This window comes from Homo sapiens, chromosome 14 (assembly GCF_000001405.40).
Source record: "Homo sapiens chromosome 14, GRCh38.p14 Primary Assembly".
Taxonomy (NCBI): domain Eukaryota; kingdom Metazoa; phylum Chordata; class Mammalia; order Primates; family Hominidae; genus Homo; species Homo sapiens.
The window spans coordinates 70,066,225-70,080,288 of NC_000014.9; the positions used below are offsets into that span (position 1 = coordinate 70,066,225).

At 45.1% G+C, this 14,064-nt stretch overlaps 1 protein-coding gene across 13 annotated transcripts in view, besides 1 other annotated feature; it reads right to left on the reverse strand.

Moving 5' to 3' along the window:
- Positions 1-14,064, reverse strand: part of SLC8A3 (solute carrier family 8 member A3) — a 145,191-nt gene that overhangs the window by 22,010 nt on the left and 109,117 nt on the right. For 3 of the 13 annotated variants that reach the window (NM_182936.3, NM_001130417.3, XM_006720240.4), the window contains exon 1: positions 13,741-13,993. The exons of the other annotated variants lie outside the window; for them this stretch is intronic. The gene's annotated coding sequence lies outside the window, so the exon portion shown is untranslated. Of the gene's footprint in view, positions 1-13,740; positions 13,994-14,064 lie in introns of those variants that run through there. 13 annotated transcript variants of the gene reach the window in all.
- Positions 7,708-8,002: a silencer, noted in NCBI's record as "tiled region #1623; HepG2 Repressive non-DNase unmatched - State 12:CtcfO". NCBI's record gives its function as "represses a minimal TATA promoter and a strong SV40 promoter by Sharpr-MPRA in HepG2 cells {active_cell/tissue: HepG2}" and the evidence as "EXISTENCE:reporter gene assay evidence [ECO:0000049][PMID:27701403]".

Below are 14,064 nucleotides of genomic sequence, written 5' to 3' on the forward strand. Positions count from 1 at the left end.
CTGGAGGCTAGAAAAATCCCTTCCAGCTCTTGAACACTGGAGAAAGTCCTTACTTCTGCTCAAGTCACAAATGAGGCTTTAAGTTTAATACAAGTCACCAGCCAGATCTTGAGTTTTCTTTCCAAACTTGTTCTTTCCCATTTCTGTCAATGGCACCATCATCTAACAAATTGCCCAGTTTTCCTAAACCTGGAATCACCCCTCATTCTTTCCTCACTCTCAGGCCTCCCTCTCTTCCCCAGCACAGTTAATTTACTACCCCCCTTCCTTCTGCCTTTAAGACCCAGATCAAAACACCATCATTTGGCCAGCGCGGTGCCTCACACCTGTAATCCCAGTGCTTTGGAAGGCCGAGGCGGGTGGATCGCTTGAGGTCAGGAGCTCAAGACCAGCCTGACCAACATGGGGAAACTCTGTCTCTACTAAAAATACAAAAATTAGCCAGCCATGGTGGTGCATGCCTGTAATCCCAGCTACTTGGGAGACTGAGGCAGGAGAATTGCTTGAACCCAAGAGGCGGAGGTTGCAGTGAGCCGAGATTGTGCCATTGCACTCCAGCCTGGGCGACAGAGTGAGACTCCTTCTCAAAGCAAAACAAAACAAACAACAACAACAACAAAACACCATCACCTCTCCCTTGGGCTTTGCAGTAGCCTCCTAAGAGATTTTCCTGTTCCTGCCTTTGCCCTCTTTCTTCAATCCCTTCCCCACATTATAGCCAGGGTTAACTATTAAAAATGCAGCCCAGGTCCTATCATGCATCCTGTAATTGTAGTACACACAGAGCCCTTACCATGGCCTATGGGAGCTTGCATGATCCAGTCGCTGCTGACCCCTCAGACCTCGTTCATAACGTCCTCCCCTTGCTTATGTGTCCTAGACACACTGGTCTTCCCAGTCCTCAAATCAAGCCCTTTCCCACCTAAGGGCAATCCCCTTGCTATCCCCTCTGCCTGGGACGCTCTTCACCGGGGTCTGTGCTTATCCTGATCGTTTGCGTCTCTGAGTAAACTTATCACCTCTTCGGAGAGGCCTTCCATGGCTACCTTATCTAGAGGACTCCTGGCTCCACCACTTTCAGTCACTCAACACAGCCTGAAGTTAGTTAGTTAGTTACTGGATGTAAGCTCTGCAAGTACAGAGAACTTGTCTTTTTTCAAAAGCTTGCAGCATCCAGTATCTCCAGGCAGTCTCCAATTCAAGGACTAACCAGACCCCACCCTGCTTACTTCCAAGATCAAGCAAGTTCTTGTCTATCTGACTTGCTACAGTAGTCCCAGTGCCCAGCACAGTGCCTGGCATACAGAACGCCCTCAAACATAACTTGCTGAGTGACTCATGGTGAATTTCTAACACACTTGAGACTTCGTAAAATGAATCCACTCATCTTTTTGCAGCAAAAATATGTCATTAGAGACAAAAATATTTTGAAGGCTACTTTCATGGAATGCCCGAGGATTTTCAGTGGGACAAAGAAGCTGCAGACCCAGTATCATCAAACCTAGATCCCCAGTTTACTTAACATACCACATTTGTCTACTCCAAGGAAGCTCTCTCCAACAGCAACCCAGGGTATAACTTACTGGTTCAAGTGAGGGTTTTCAGATTTTTTTGGGCCCCCCATTTCCAGTTCTTCTTCCCGCACAGTGGCAGTTACTTAATGGTCATGGGGACAGATTATCCTGAGCAGCTACTCCTAGAGCCAGTAATGCTGTCAGAGGCTCCAGGACCTGCACCTGCCTTTCCTCCAAGCTTTCTGCCAAGGGAGGTGCCAATGCACACAGCGTTCCCAGAACAGACCTGGCTGAGCTGCTGCGGAAACCTGCTCCCAGGAGATCTTCTATCAAACAACCTGGAGACGATTAGGAAATACATGTCTGGGCTGCCTGGCTGGCCTTTTGAAATAGTCCTTTGCATCGAGGACATTCAAATCAGGCCTCTGATCCTCAGGGTGCTGCAAAGGGGAAGGGTTCTCTTTAGCCATTGAGTTCCTTTAGAGTGAAAGTGGGAGTAAGCAGCATTTATTAGTTGAACAGATGATTAATACATTGGAGGAGGCCTTCTTTATACAGGAAGGAAGAATTCTAAGATAATATATATGCTTACATTGTGCTCACCACCATGAGAACCATAAGAAGAACTTTCTTGTTTCATTCTTCTTATTTATTTATTGAGACAGGGTCTCACTCTGTCACCCAGGCCGGAGTGCAGTGGTGTGATCATGACTCACTGCAGCCTCAACTCCTGTGCTCAGGCCGTCCTCCTGCCTCAGCCTCTTGAGTAGCTGGGGCCACGGGTGCATGCCACCATGCCCAGCTAATTTTTAAAAAATTATTATTGGTAGAGATGGGACCTCACTAAGTTGCCCAGGCTGATCTTGAACTCCTGGGCTCAAGTGATCCTCTCACCTTGACCTCCCAAAGTGCTGGGATTACAGGCATAAGTCACCATGTCAGGCCTCTTATTTCATTCTTATTTCTGCTTTATTAACATAGATATTATTATTTTATTTATTTATTTTTGAGACACAGTCTCACTCTGTCTCCAGGCTAGATTGCAGTGGCACAATCTGGCTCACCACAGCCTCAACCTCCCGGGCTCATATAATCTTCCCACCTCAGCCTACCGAGTAGCTAAGACTACAGGCACCTGCCACCATGCCTGGCTAATTTTTGTATTTTTTCTAGAGACGAGGTGTCACCATGCTGGTCTCAAACTCTTGGGCTCAAGCAATCCACTGGCCTCGGCCTTCCAAGGTGCTGGGATTATAGGTGTGAGCCACTGGGCCTGGTCAATTATGATTACTTCCATTTTAAAGATGAGAAAACAGATGCTCAAAGAGGTTAAGTAACTTGCTCAGTCGCACAGCTATTAAGCAGCTGAGCTAGGATTTTAGCCTATGTCCCCCTATTACACCTATAGCTTATTTCTTATGCAGGTGGGTAAGCTCTGGATGTCATTCCCAAGCTGCAGCCACAGTGAGGAGGCACAGAATTTCCACACTGAAATCCCAGCAGCACAGGCAGGTAATAAGTGGATCTGCCTCTGTATTGTATTGTGAGTAGGTGGCCTCCTAACCCTTCGGCCCTCCCATGCCAGAAATAATCTCTGAGTACAGGCTGGGCTTCTGACTCTGTGACCTCTTCCTGTCTCATTCCTACTGAATGACTCTTTACCCTGTCAAGAAGCGTTCCCTTTCATCACTTCTGAATGTATCCTTGCTGCTCCGGGTCAGCTAACACTCACAGAGCTTCCTTGACCTGGGGCAGCTGGACCGAGCAGGTGGAGGAGCTGCGAACCTTTCCATGGGAGCTTTCAGAAGCCTCACATCTCTTAGCTGGGTTCTTCTTGTAGTTTCCTTTATTTTTCCGGTTGGGTGTCACTGCCCCATCTCTTCCCCTGCCAGGTTTCTGGCTCTTTGAACGTGGACTGAACCCCCCACCGCCACCTGTCACCAACAACCCAACACTGATATTTCCCTGACCCCTCTCCCAAGGTCTGAGGGGAAGGCCCCTGTTCCATGAGAAGGCTTAGGGTCTCTAATTGGCGTTCTCTTTAAAATAAGTGTGTCATCTCGTCCCTGAAAGCGGTGCTTCTCAAACTTTAATGTGCACATGAATCACCCAAGCATCTTGTTAATGTGTGGATTCTGATTCAGTAGATCTGGGGTGGGGCCTGAGAGCCTGCCTTTTTAACAAGGCCCCAGCGTGTGTGGATGCTACTGGTCCATGGCCAAAAGATCCCCTGGAGAAGTCGCTCTGACTCTATTAAAGACCCAGGGAAAGAGGAGAAGCGGCTTGAATGCTAGTGCCAGTCAAGGATGGGGGGCTGGAGTCAAAGTCTAGCGTTTCAGTCAAATGCTGGACTAATTAGGTCAATTCTGACACTATATCTTGAGAGGGACTTTGGAGTACATCCAGAGTAGGGTGACTAGGATGATGAGAGATCTAGAAACCACATTTCAAATTAACTTACCAATAGTTACATAGTGCTTATTTTGTGCTAGGCAGAGCTCTAAGCATTTTGCTTATATTAAGTAATTTAATCCTCACAACTAACCTGTTAGATAGGTAGAGGCCAGACCAGGTGCTATTTTCTCTGCACACATTATCTCATTTAATATTCATAATAACCTATGAGGTAGGTGCTATTTTTATCCCCATTCCCACACATGAAGAACCAGAGGACCAGAAAAGTTAAGAGACTTGCCTAAGGTTATAACTAAATAAGTGGCAGAGCTGGGAATTGAATTCAAACAGTGTGGCTCTAAAGATTTTGCATCTAACTATTGATTTGTGGATCCAGAGGAGAGATGTCTCCTGGAGGAAATGCTACTTACTCCAAATGGTTCTGGGGCTGTCACAAGTGCTGCTTCCAAAGGAAGTTGGTGGGAAGTTCCAGGGAGGTGGGTTTCAACTCTACCACATACCATTCCATCAGGGAGATGAACTAGCTTATAAGAGAGTGATCACCCCATTCCTGGTATTAAAAAATAGGATGATGTCCATGCATAAAAAAGGCCATGGAGAGGATTCCTGCATGCTACAGGAGGTCAAGTAATGACCCCTAAAGGACTACAGCCAGTGGTGAGCTAATAAACCAGCTTCCCAGGAATAAAGAGAAACCCTGATTTGGAACGGTTGCTTTCCATGGTGAAAATACTCTCACTATAGTCAATTTCAGGCTACTAATAGTTTAACAACCAATGTCCACAATTACTAAACATTTAACAGTCAGCTCTTGTGAGATGGTAGGAGTCTGCTCTGGTATACCACTGACAGTGTCAGATTCTCCCAATGTGTTTGAGAAAGATTGTGGTGGGAAAGAATAGTTCTGATTGATTTACAGCCTATTTTGCCACATGCTAGTGTTTGCTCAAAGTGGGTGTCTGATGAAGTTAGGTATAAATGTGCTTATTCAAAAAGGCCTTTGGGAAAAAAAGGCTTCAAGATTTGGTTTTTAAAAGGATTATGGGTGAGTGGGGAGGCAGAGTTTCTAAAATGTTCCCCCAAAGATGTTCTGCCCCAATCCTTGGAACCTGTAAATGTGCTGTTATCACTCCTGAAATGTTATACGGTATCACAGTTACCTTTAAAATAGGGACATTATCCAGGTGGGCCTGATTGAATCGCATGAACGCTTAAAAGCAAAGAACTTTCTCTGGCTAAAGAAGAAGGGAAAGCCAGAAAGATACGAGCCACAAGAAAGATTCTACATGCTGCTTTGGTTTGAAGATGAACGGTGTCTTGTGAATAGGAACATAGGCAGCCTGTAGGTGCAAAGAGTGGTCCCTGGATGACAGCCAGCAAGGAAACGGGGACCTCCAACCTCAAGCCACAAGAGACGGGATTCTGCTGATGGCCTGAATAAGGTTGGAAGCGTATATGTCCTCAGAGCCTCCAGATAAGATCCCAGCCTGGCCAACACCTTGATTTCAGTCTCACGAGAACTTGGACAGAGAACCCAGTCAAGCCTGCCTGGACTTCTGAGATACAGAACTTGCGAGATAATAAATGGGTATTGCTTTAAGCCTCTACGTTTCTGACAATTTGCTACACAGCAACAGACAACTAATATGGAAGGCTTATTTATTTTATGGAGGCAGGAACCTGAGCTAAATGATCTCTTGGAACTACCCTACACCATCTATTTTGTGAACAAAAAGAGTGTTTCGGGGTGCGTGTGAGAACGTGCACAGACTCCCCTTTTGCTTTGGTATCTATTCTGGACCCTCCTTTGAGCCCTCTGCTGCATGCAGCTTCTACATACCTGTGACTAGCTGGACTCATCAGAGATAACCTACTGAGGATGTGGCTTCCCCTAGGGAAAGTGTAGGAACATTTTGTCTCTACTGACAGTAAAGAGCTGACTGCTGGACATGTTTATGGATGTAGACCCATTTGAGGACTTGATGCTCATTCTGTTAATTCTGAAATGTCTGGGTTTATAACTGGGCATCACAGCCCATGGGTACTCCTCTGCTTTCCTAATTACCCACTTTCCCAGTGCCTGGAGAGCGTGTTACCTGTGGCTAGAGGGAAAGGGACATCTGAGGTAACTGCATGATTATGGACCTAGGGTTCAGGATATGATCACAGGCAAGGCAGTGCCAAAAACCTCAAAAGGATCACTCACTCTGTTTCCCAAAGGTCAGGGCAAAAAGAGGGAATTTCTAATTTTTTAGACATTATTCTTTTAAAGTAGATGCCTTTTTTTTTAAGGTTTTCATGCCTTGTAGGGTAGCTCTACAGGGTAGAAAATATTTTAAAATCACAAAATTTTATTCTCCCCTTCCTTTCTTACAGAATAAAGACTTAAGGATTCCAATTCATCCTAAGAATTGGAAACTCTCTGTAATGTCTATCTATCCGTCCATCCATCCATCCATCCATCCATCCATCCATCCATCTCTGCAACCTGAACTTTTCTTTTTTTGTGAGAGAAAAAAAAGAAAGCTCTCTCACCCAGGCTGAAGTGTAGTAGCATGATCTCGACTCACTGCAACCTTTGCCTCCCAGGCTCAAATGATTCTCCTGCCTCAGCCTCCCGAGTAGCTGGGATTACAGGCATGCGCCACTAAACCCAGCTAATTTTTGTATTTTTAGTCGAGATGGGGTTTTGCCATGTTGGCCCGGCTAGTCTCAAACTCGTGACCTCAGGTGATCCGCCTGCTTTGGCCTCCCAAAGTGCTGGGATTACAGGCATGAGCTACCATGCCTGGCCTGCCACCTGATATTTTCAAATTTTTCCATACAAACTCTGCACTTCAATTATCTTCATTATGCCCCAAACATGTCATTCCTCTGCTCACCCTGAGAATTCTTCCTCTTACCCTTCCCTTCCCTTCCCTTCCCTTCCTTCCTTCCACTCTTCCATAATAAAGATTTCCCTCCTTCTTTGCTGCCCTATGGTGGGAAGTGCTTTATATTACTGCTTATGTGTGTATTCATGTGAGTGGGGGTATGACGGAGTGGGCTGAGGGTTAGGAACGTTGCACTATACATTAGAGGGAGGATCTGGCCTTCTTGAAAGTAGTCTCTGTATGAGTGTTACCCAGTTATTCTCAAAGGGGAATTTAATCTTCAACCTCCATATCAGTGGGTCTGTGAAGGTTTCATCTCTGCATGTGACTCAGTTACTTACAGCTCCATTTGGGCCCCAAGTTTGTCCTGACTCACTTCAAGGGGGCTGGGGTGAGGGAGACAGGAATATTCACAACTCCAATTCTCTCTTTTTTCTAAGTCAAGAGAAGTAAATATATATATATATGCATGCCAGTAGTCTGGGAATAAATGATTGCTGTGCCCTGAAGTTGATAAATCCCCTTCTTGGAAAGGCAGTGAGAAGAATCTATAAAATCATTTTATTTAACAGTGTATCTGTTCCCAGCACTGAAGAGAACAAGTGGCTGGTTATCTGATTCATGGCTTTAGAGATGTTGGATCTCTCTGTCTTGTCTTCTCTCACTGCTGGGAATCTTATTTTGAGAGAACAAATTTGATCCAAGTAGAAAAGAGAGAAGTTTGTATTGTATACACGTGAAACACTGGGTCCAAACAAAACCTTCTAATAATTAGGAAGAGAGAGGAGCTGGCTCTTCAGGACTTGGGTCAAATGCAGTCAAAACGCCCTGCCTTCCACCTTAATTCCCTGTCCACTCAAGCTCTGAGAAAGCCCATATTTCTGGTGGATAATTTCTAGAGATCCTTGTAAATAGCAAATCCAGGAAAGATTGCTGTCCCTGGGCTGAGCAGAGAAAATATTTCAATTAGAGACTTAACTGCATGGGAGATTAGCTGATTCTATAGACATTTTCTTGACTGAACCCATCAGGGACTACACTAAAGCAAAGCTGCAGTGTTGCACAACTGCACTGGGCTCCAGGCACATAGAAGCCAATGAGAATGCTGCCCCCTGGTGGTGTGCAGCACAGTGGCACTGGATGACAGAACAGCCTACAGGTTGCATGTTAGCTACTGTCCCCATTTGGGGTGTGTTGAATTGTGGGTCCCAAAGGGGTTGTCAGAAATTTCCACCTGTGAGAATTCGAGATGACCTGTTTTCCAATTTAGAGTTCTTCCCTTTTTCTCCCAGTCAAAGGGGAAATTCTTGTTTTATACCACCTGGAGACAACGTAGGTCCCAGGCTATTGAAGGGTTGGAGTCAGTGGGCCTAAGTGCTTGTCCCAGCTCGGCTGCAGGAATAGTGGATCCTTTGTGCTAATGTGACAATCTAGCCTGCTGCTAGTTTCACAGAACCTAGTGACCTTGGGAGGAACATAGTAGGCAAACTACTTGGGAGATAGACTTTAAAAGCAGAAGCTGAGATTATCACAAAGGTGGGGAAGGGAGACAGAAATCCTATTTCCTCTATGCTTAAAGGTCTGAAGTTATTCTTATGGTCAAAGCAAGAGGCTGATATAGAACAGACAGGCATAGATCCAGGACAGGGATCAGGGTGAGACTAGTAAGTCAGAGGTGCAACATTTAAGGGTACACCTAAAAACTCAGTAATCAAGATCAATAATATTTTAATGCAATGATTTTTAAAAGTTGCAATTAATGCAACAAATCCATGATAAACAAAATATCAAAATGTTAATAAAGACAGGTTCCTATCCTGCCCTTGCTGACTCACTTCATTTACCTTGCCCTAACCCTAACCCTAGGGAGGCGACTCTAGTGGTCCTCTGATGCCTTGTGGTGTAATAGAGAGAATGACAGTAGGAAGAGTCGAGTTTGAGTTCCGCTGCTGCTGCTTACTTACTACAGGTTCTCCTAAGCCTAAACAAGGAAGACAAGAGATTGTTTCTCTTTTGAGATTGTTATGGGTCATGATATGAACAAAAAAAATACAACTCTTGTTTTTGGAAACTGCAGGTCTCCTTCAACTGTGTGTATGTGTGTGTGTGTGTGCGCGCATGTGTGTGCGTGCGTGTGTGCGTGTGTGTTTAATATAACTAGGGCTTTTAGTTCACCCTCCAGAGCTAACCCCTTAAGCCTTTCAGGAAGCCAGACAACGTTCTCAGCCTTTCGGGCTCTCTGTTCGTCTCTTCCTTCACTCCTCACTGGCCCTTCCTTTTCTCTCTCACCAGAGGAACTATCTGCCCTTTGCAAGAGCTCAGCTCCCACGTGCCTGCCCAAGGTTTGCCATAGGCCGCGTATCCTTCTTATTTTTAGGCAATAGGGAGGAAATGGGAGGAGGGTGGAGTGTCTTCTTTGAGGACATTGCCTTTGAACTGTGCTCTGGAAAGGTGGTGTCCAGTTTTCTCTGGCCTTCACTTTTGCCTTCTGCCTTCTGCCTTGTTGGGCTTGCGTGAGTGGCCCGCGCTTATTTGTCAGCGTGGTCCCCCTCTGCTTGGAACCGTCTTCTCTGCCACACCACCCTACTTAAACCACTTTCTCTTCTTACCTGGCCTCTTGCAATAACCACCTAATTTATCTCCCTGCTTCCATTTCTCTTAGCCTGTTATGGTCCATTCTCTCCTCAGCAGGAGTGCTTAAAAACAATTTTTTAAAGAAAATTATAACATGCTGCTCCCCTACTTAAATCTTTCATAGGTTCCCATTGCATTTAAAATTAAAATTGAACTGCATAATCCAACCTAGGAATTCTGAAACTTTAGCATACTCGGAATCATCTGGAGGGCTCGATAAAACACAATGAGGTGCCCCATCCCAGAGTTTGTGACTCAGCAGGTCTGGGTGGGGCCTGAGAATTTGCATTCCTAACAAGTTCCCAGGTAACATTGATGCTGCTGGCTCCAGAACCACAGTGAGAACGCTGATCAAGCCTGCAAAGCCTGACCTTGATGCCCCCACTCCCCCACTCACCTTCTACTACTTTTCCACCACCCACTCGGCCTGGTCATGCCTGCCTTTGTTCTGTTTTCTCAAATATCTTGTCCTCATTCCTGCCTCAGGGCCTCTGCACTACCTGCTTCCTCTGCCTGGAGCTTTCCTTCTCCAGATAGTCTCATGACCAGGTTCTTTTTAAATGTCTTAGCTTACATGCCACCACCTTGTCTGCCCGGTCTGCTTGGCCCTCCAGCTACTCTCCATCATATCTGTTTCCCTTTATCTTGTTTATTTATTTATCTGTAAGTGGTCTGTTTCCTTCATCAGAATAAAAGCTCCATGAGAGCAGGAACCTTGTCTGTGTTCTTTGCCAGCACCCAGCACAGTCTCTGGCACATAGACCACACGCAATATATATTTGTTGAATGAATGCATGAATGATTAATGAATACCAGTAAGTGGTGGAGCCCAAATTTGGTCCCAGGCCTTTCTCACTGCAGAGACAATCTTAATGCTTAGTGTGTGATTTGTGCTAGGGATGCTGAGGCACACACTTGGCTGGTCTCCCTGACTCTATTCTTGCACACATTACTCCCTCCCGAGCACTATTATTGGGCTACTCTTAGGAAAAGTTCACCTTGATAGCTCCTGTTTCCCTTCCCAAACAAGTCTAACCTCCTTTTCCTGGCCTTCAAAACATGCATGAAAATAGTCATCTTGGCTAGAATCACGGCTCTGCTGTCAAGTTCATTTATTTGGTTATGACTTTGGTTAAGCATATTCTCCATTGTTCTTTCCGATGACAGATGCCATGAAAATCATTATTCATTTGATCATTTACTGATTAAGAGCCTGGGCCTTAGAATCAGAGACGTCTGGAGGCAGTAATTATGTTTTAGGGCTTTTGACAAATTACCGAATCTCTATGAGCCTCAGTTTCCTTAATCTAAGATGAGTGCAATAATAAAACCTACCTAACAGGGTTTTTGAGAGGATTAAATGAGATAATGGAACCAAAACCCCACAGCACAGTAACTGGCATACAATAAGCAGTCGTACATGTCACTTAATTTGATGATGGTCTGTCTGTTTAAGTTATAACTGGAGCAACCAATAAAGTGATTTTTTTTTTCTTAACTCCCAGGACAGGGTCAGAAGAGGGTGAGAAGTTTGGCAGGTGCTGGTTTGGAACCAGGTAGGGTGTTTTCTGAATTCCGTGGTCTGGTCTGCGGAAGAACTACAAAGGAGTATGCTTTGAGAGGTCTTGAGTTTCCACAACATCTTTCCTTATTTCCTGTCTTAGGAATTTAAGTGGGATCATCTTTGCACTGTACCTGCTGCCCCAGTGGAAGCTGAATGCCTTTTCAGGGTAACATTCCCTGTTAATCCAACACTGCTCTTTGGTCTCTCACAGGGTGGATTGTGGGGCAGTTCATTTCCATGTTTCAATCCCATTGGTTAAACACGGACAGGGCTTCCAGGGTCCTGTTTTTATCTCCATGGGGGTATGTGTGGGAGAACCAATGGTATCAGTATGTACTCCGGAGGGCTCCTCGACCTTGGATAAGGAGAAGTTCTCCGTGGCTGTCCAGTAGGCAGAGGTGGCAACTGAATTTACTTCCTTCTAGCCCCATTCTGGATGCTTTTATTGACAGATAAAACCCCCACCCATGCCCATTTCTTTTCCCAGAAATGCCAGAATCTGATTTTGGGTCCCAGTACCAATTTCTCAAGTTCCTTTTGCACTCTGCCCTCGCTTCAGTGAATTCTCCTGAGTGCTGTTCCTTTACTCTTTTGCCTGGGCAGAGTGCAGTGGCAGAAAACAGTCTGTTTCCCTTGCAAAAGACATCTGCCCTTCCTCCGATTTCCACTTTTCACCTCTGTTCAGAGGCAGATGGCTTGTAGCCAATACTCATTTCAAGCAGGACATTTACATATTCCTGTCCTATTGATGGAAATAAAATAAGCTTGGGAAAGCCTAGAGTTATAGAGAGGTGATGACCAGCTGACAGGAGCCAGCCAGGAAGGCCTCCTGATCCCTTGGTTAAAAACATGTTTGTTTATATGGCACATCTCAGGGCTGCTACCTTTCCAATGCCATTCAGGGCAGGTAAGAGTCAGGCAGACTCGTTCACCTGAAACAGGAGATGGTGAAATTCTGGGGTGATAAAAGAAAGCATAACAATAGTGGCAGTAATATAACACATTTAAAATTCTACATCTGCCTGGAGGGCCTTTAATCAAGGATTTCAAAACACTTTCCCAGATCTTGCCCATTCATCTTTACCACATCCCTGGGAAACAGCTGGCAGGTAGGTAGCAGAGCATTAAAATTAGGGTACTGTATCATTATCTTTGATATCAGCACTATTTGTTTAGACAGCATTTTTTTCTGAAGAACTAAAGAGCTCCATACACATTATATTATCTGATTCTCACTTAGTCATACAACATCCCCCATATTTGCTGACTTGCAGGTAGTTTGGAAAGCTTTGGATCCACAGAAATGCATTACTTTACTGCCTACTCCCTCCCCTCCCACTCCTGCATAATTCACAGGCACTTCCCACTGATGGCTGGCTGACTTTAAGCTGCCAGTACCATGGGCTGGACCACCTACCTTGTCTATCACCAAGACACAAGCACCCTCAGCACATACATTCAGTTTTATGTCAGTGATACCAAAGGCTGTAGGAAGAACAAATCATAAATTCCCTCATCAGATTTCATTTGAGTCTAGTTTGTTGGGTTTTAAAACCTCACTTGTATGGCTATTAGATGGATTTCATGATTAGTATGAAGATACACCATTGGGAATGGATCTGCAGGGTCTACCAATCATATAAACCCATGGTTGAGGCTAAGCTTCTAGCACAGTCTCTGTCCACCTTGAAAGTGGGCATCACCTTTACAATTGGCCCAGGGGATTGCTTTGATTTGTAAGAACTTCTGTATTTCCCTTTCACTGAAGTCATCAGGCAAGTGATATTCTTCTGTTATGTACTTATAGTACATGTTACAGTTGTAAAGAATCAATCAATTGTATAATTGTTTCCTTATTTGTCTTCTCCACTATCCTAATAAGCTCTACAAGGGCAGGAGCTGCATTTGTTCTAATCACCCCTATATTTCCAGAGTTAAGCACACATCAGATGCTTAATAAAAATATCTGTTGAATGAGGCTAGGCACGGTAGCTCACACCTGTAACCACAGCACTTTGGGATGTGGAGGTGGGTGGATCACTTGGGGTCAGGAGTTCGAGACCAGCCTGGCCAACATGGTGAAACCCTGTCTCTACTAAAAAATACAAAAAAAAAAAAAAAAAAAAAAATCAGCCAGGCGTGGTGGTGCACATCTGTAATCCCAGCTACTCAGGAAGCTGGACCACAAGAATTGCTTGAACCCAGGAGGCAGAGGTTACCGTGAGCTGAGATGGTGCCACTGCACTCCAGCCTGGGCGACAGAGTGAGACTCCATCTAAAAAAAAAATCTATTGAATGAATGAGGGAAAAAATAATGGCATTTATCACACTGAACATTCTCTGGCTTAGGGCTTCTAATCACACCCTTTCTGCACTGGTGTAAGTTCCATGTCCGGGCATCATAATGGCCCCCACCCCCATGCCATATAATCACGCACCCTGGGAAATGCAGCCTTGCCAACCCTCCCCCTTCATTTTCCTCAGTCCTTGAGAAACACAGGTGCTGCTTAGATAGAAGCCTTATATTTGGCCCAGTCTCTTCCAATAATTTAGTTGAGCTCTGGGCTCAGAATTTTTATATGGCCTGCTCAAAAAGCCCAGTGCTTCCAGCAAAATCTCTCACTTGCACCTGTCCCTGTGGTATGGAGAGAGAAACACATAAACTCTGGGGCCATAGAAACTTGAGTTAAAATCTTAGTTCTACTGCTTATAGCTGTGTGACCTTGGCCAAATCTCTTACCTCTTTGAGCTTCCGTTTCTTCAGCAGTTACCTGGAGATGATAACATTCACATTGGGTTGTCGTGCGGGTGACATGAGAAAGCACAGGCAGCAGGCTCAGCAAGTGATGGTTCCCTTTCCTTCCCCTCTTTCCTTGACCCCTTCCTTTGACTTATCCACCCTCCTGGCTGCCAGTTATCGTCTGGATGCCTCTAGCTGTCATTCCCTAGGTTTTCGGCTCCATGCTGGAAGAGTTGATACTCAGACTATATTTAGATGCCTTAGCGCTTTCATTTTTTTATACCACTGTGTTGCTATGGTGATGGTGGGGAGGGGAGGGGAAGG